Here is a 3,545-nt window from a genome sequence, read left to right on the forward strand (position 1 = left end):
ATATTTCTACTTAGAGATAATAAGTGTAGTATAATTAACTTGAGTGTATTTAAAGTCTAAAATAGTACACTCAGAATAATATTGAAAATTCTCCTCCCTTGACTAAAATAACATTTTTATTCATCCCTCTTATCTTATTTCAAATTGAAGCCTTTTTCTGTTACAATAGTATTAATTCTATCAGTCACTAGAAGTCTACTCATGGTCTGCAAAGTGTAAAAAACTGTCTTTGTAAAAGATACCTCAGGATTTTACTCCTTATGTCATGGACATCTATGTGATATTTCAAATCAAGCGGTTCACAACTACCCATAAAAATCTGATTCATACAGAGATATCGTCATAAACAAGTATATGTAAGCCTGGCATTTGCCTTCTTGTTGTTTTATCACACTGAAAACTACTTAAAATGGATGATTGGAGGAATTGCATAAATTCTCCTTAGAAGAGCGATTCAATTGCCATAAAAAATAGAGGGCTAGCCAGATGAAAATGCATTTTAATAGGAGAAAAGTTCTAATAGTTCATTAGATGAATATTAAGCGCATAAAAATATGTCATTATGATATAAATTCTGAACTCCCACCAAAATTTTTCATTCTTCTATAGTCAGTCATGCTCATTCTCTTTGGACCCAGTGTTTCCTTACTAGGGATGGAAATTAGGGGTGGAGTGATGGAGTGGGAGGGGGTGAATTGTATGATCTAAGGTGTTATCCTCTCCTCTGATTCCTACACCTCATGCATATTTGGAAGCCGCAGAAACATTGTTGTGGCCCCTGAGTTGTTCTACTTGCCCTATGAAAGTGGTAGGCTTCACACAGACAACAATTTGCTTGAATGCTGAATTCCCTAGATGATAAAGCCAAAATCACAGAATGGGGATAGAATGAACCAAAAACACTTGGTTCTCTCTAGTTAAATATTTCATGCCTGATCTGTTGTAGCTTATTCTATGGAAATTAAAAAAAATATTTATTTCTATGTTGAGCTTCTTTTATTTCTGGAGAAAGCATTTCAGGTACTTGTTCCTCGACTTGTGGTATTTGAAATATGAATTCTGAATTCGTGGCTTATCAATAAAAACACATTGACTTTCACGGAGGTTGACTGGTGTATTCTAGTACAGGAGTAGAAACATTTACTTACATTGTGTTCACAGCTGATAAACTGCAGTTGCTAACAGTTTGTTAATTAAATCTTAGTTAAGCTTTGTCCTTCCTGCTTGAAAACAGGAACTCTTAACATCTGAGGCTGCAATTTGCATGCATCAGTCAACACAAATGCTGAACAAAGTGCTTGTTTAGGTAATAAGATAAGGAGGTGCCCTCTCCACATTTCAGCTCTGACCGCCTGAGAAGCAACATTTCCCAAGATTCCCAGCTGCTGCTTGTTCAGGCAGCTCTGTGGTTTGCGCTGCATATTAATTTCTGTCCGACACGGGAATTCAATTTGTACTGTACATTTCATTTCTTCACAGATTTAGATTTATTTCATGTTCTCTGCTTTTAATTAACTCTCTGGCACAGCTGCTGGACAGGATAGAAAAACTCATTGCTCTCCCTGTGTTATGAGTACACCACCAATCATTTGCCATTTAGATGGTGGTGCAGGAGCTATCAGTTTCTATGGCAACCAGAGCCGTGGTGATTGATTCCTTGCCAGTATGGCATCACCACAGGGAGTGCAGCTTGTGATTTTTGTATGCTCGCAACATCCATCTAATTAAAACAGGATTATGGAATCATCCCAGTATATGTTCAGCAACTACACTGCATTCCATTTATGTAAATGTCAACACTATTAAATACAGTGGTCAGAAGCTGTTTATAAAGAAATACTTGCCTTAGTCTTTGGTTGTGCATTGGGAAGTGAGGGCTTAACCACCTGGTTTTGGCCATTTATTCTCTTAAATGGTAGCCTTTAACCAGGCACAGTCATTTTGCATTTGAAAATCTTATGAAGCAAAGCCAAACAGTTACATTTCAACTGATGCAATGCTTGCTAGCTCTAGCATGCAATACTAAGCCTGACTTGGAAATTGGCTAATTAATTTAGTGTGTATGCTAATTATTTATTCATCAAAAGCTCTTAATTCACGTGATTGATTTCTCTTTCATTGGCCTCCCTTGAGAGCAGAACATCCTTCTGCTCTCATGATTTTCTTCTCACAGAGCATTCCTCAATTCCTTTAACAGTTGCTTGGGATTTGGGGAAAGCTTACCTACCAGGTGAGATAAAAGATGCACTTTTCACCGTTGTGCATGGAGACTCCAGATGAAAAAGGCAGCTCAGGGACTTCATGAAGGGCTAAATGAGTAGGCAAGCCCATCAGAGAATTGTGAGCTGTATATGCAAAATAAAAAAGAAGGACAGAGGGTGACAGATCAGTTAGCAATGTTGTCTTATACATCAGATTTTTTGCTGGATGAGACTGACAAAATATTCTGTTAACATGAAAAATGACAGTCTGCACTCCTAATGGCTTCATGTCCCTGTGCATTTCATTTTCTAATGTATTTCTGTTATAGAAGCTGCCACTGTGACATATATAAGTATGCACTGTATAGTATGTGTATTCGCTGTCAAAACTCTATTCATTTTACAGAATTTTTTTCCCTTGCCTTCACATATGTTATATGAAGAAATTGCACATTCAAATGATACTGTCAGAGATACTTCTGGTTAAATTTTAATTATTAGTACTATACTTCCCAAAAGTTTCATGACATTTCAAAGTTCTCATGAAATGACAGTAAAATTACTCCCAAAGCAGGAAATTCATAAAATGACAAAAATCTATAAAACATTTTGACTAGTGAAAGAAAAGGGATTCTAATATCGGCTAGGATGTGATGATTGGCTGAGACAAAACTGATGGAAAGAAGAGTGCTTCATTGAATGTAGCTTTTAAAATACATAGTTTTTCGGTTGTGGTATCACCAAGAGCATGTAACTAAATAGTGGGTGTAATTCGCGGTATTTTCTTTGTCTGGGGCACACAGTTTATATTGCATGTATGTATCTACTCTAGACATTAGCGTGTCACACTTAGAGTTACAATATATGCCATTCTGCCGGGCGTGGTGGCTCACGCCTGTAATCCCAGCACTTTGGGACGCTGAGGCTGGTGGACCACGAGGTCAAGAAATTGAGAACATCCTGGCCAACATGGTGAAACCTCGTCTCTACTAAAAATACAAAAATTAGATGGGCATGGTGGCATAGGCCTGTAGTCCCAGCTACTCAGGAGGCTGAGGCAGGAGAATCACTTGAACCCGGGAGGCGCAAGTTGCAGCGAGCCGAGATCACGCCATTGCACTCCAGCCTGGGCAACAGAGTAAGACTCCATCTCAAAAAAAAAAATTATGCCATTCATTGCTAGTTCATTAAGCAGTGAAGGTGATGAGCATGCATTTTATCTACAATGGTAACATCATTCATCCCTCATGTCTACTGTCCTTTCAGATATTTATGCTACCACCAGTACTCCCTCTGAGCCCCTCAAAAATCATTAGCTCACACAAATAAATCCAAAAATATTTT

At 37.9% G+C, this 3,545-nt stretch overlaps 1 annotated feature.

Annotated features, from left to right (window-relative positions):
- Positions 879 to 1,938: an enhancer, noted in NCBI's record as "VISTA enhancer hs643". NCBI's record gives its function as "enhancer in: hindbrain (rhombencephalon)[9/12] | forebrain[10/12]" and the evidence as "EXISTENCE:transgenic organism evidence [ECO:0001131][PMID:17130149]".

This window comes from Homo sapiens, chromosome 9 (assembly GCF_000001405.40).
Source record: "Homo sapiens chromosome 9, GRCh38.p14 Primary Assembly".
Classification (NCBI taxonomy): Eukaryota; Metazoa; Chordata; class Mammalia; order Primates; family Hominidae; genus Homo; species Homo sapiens.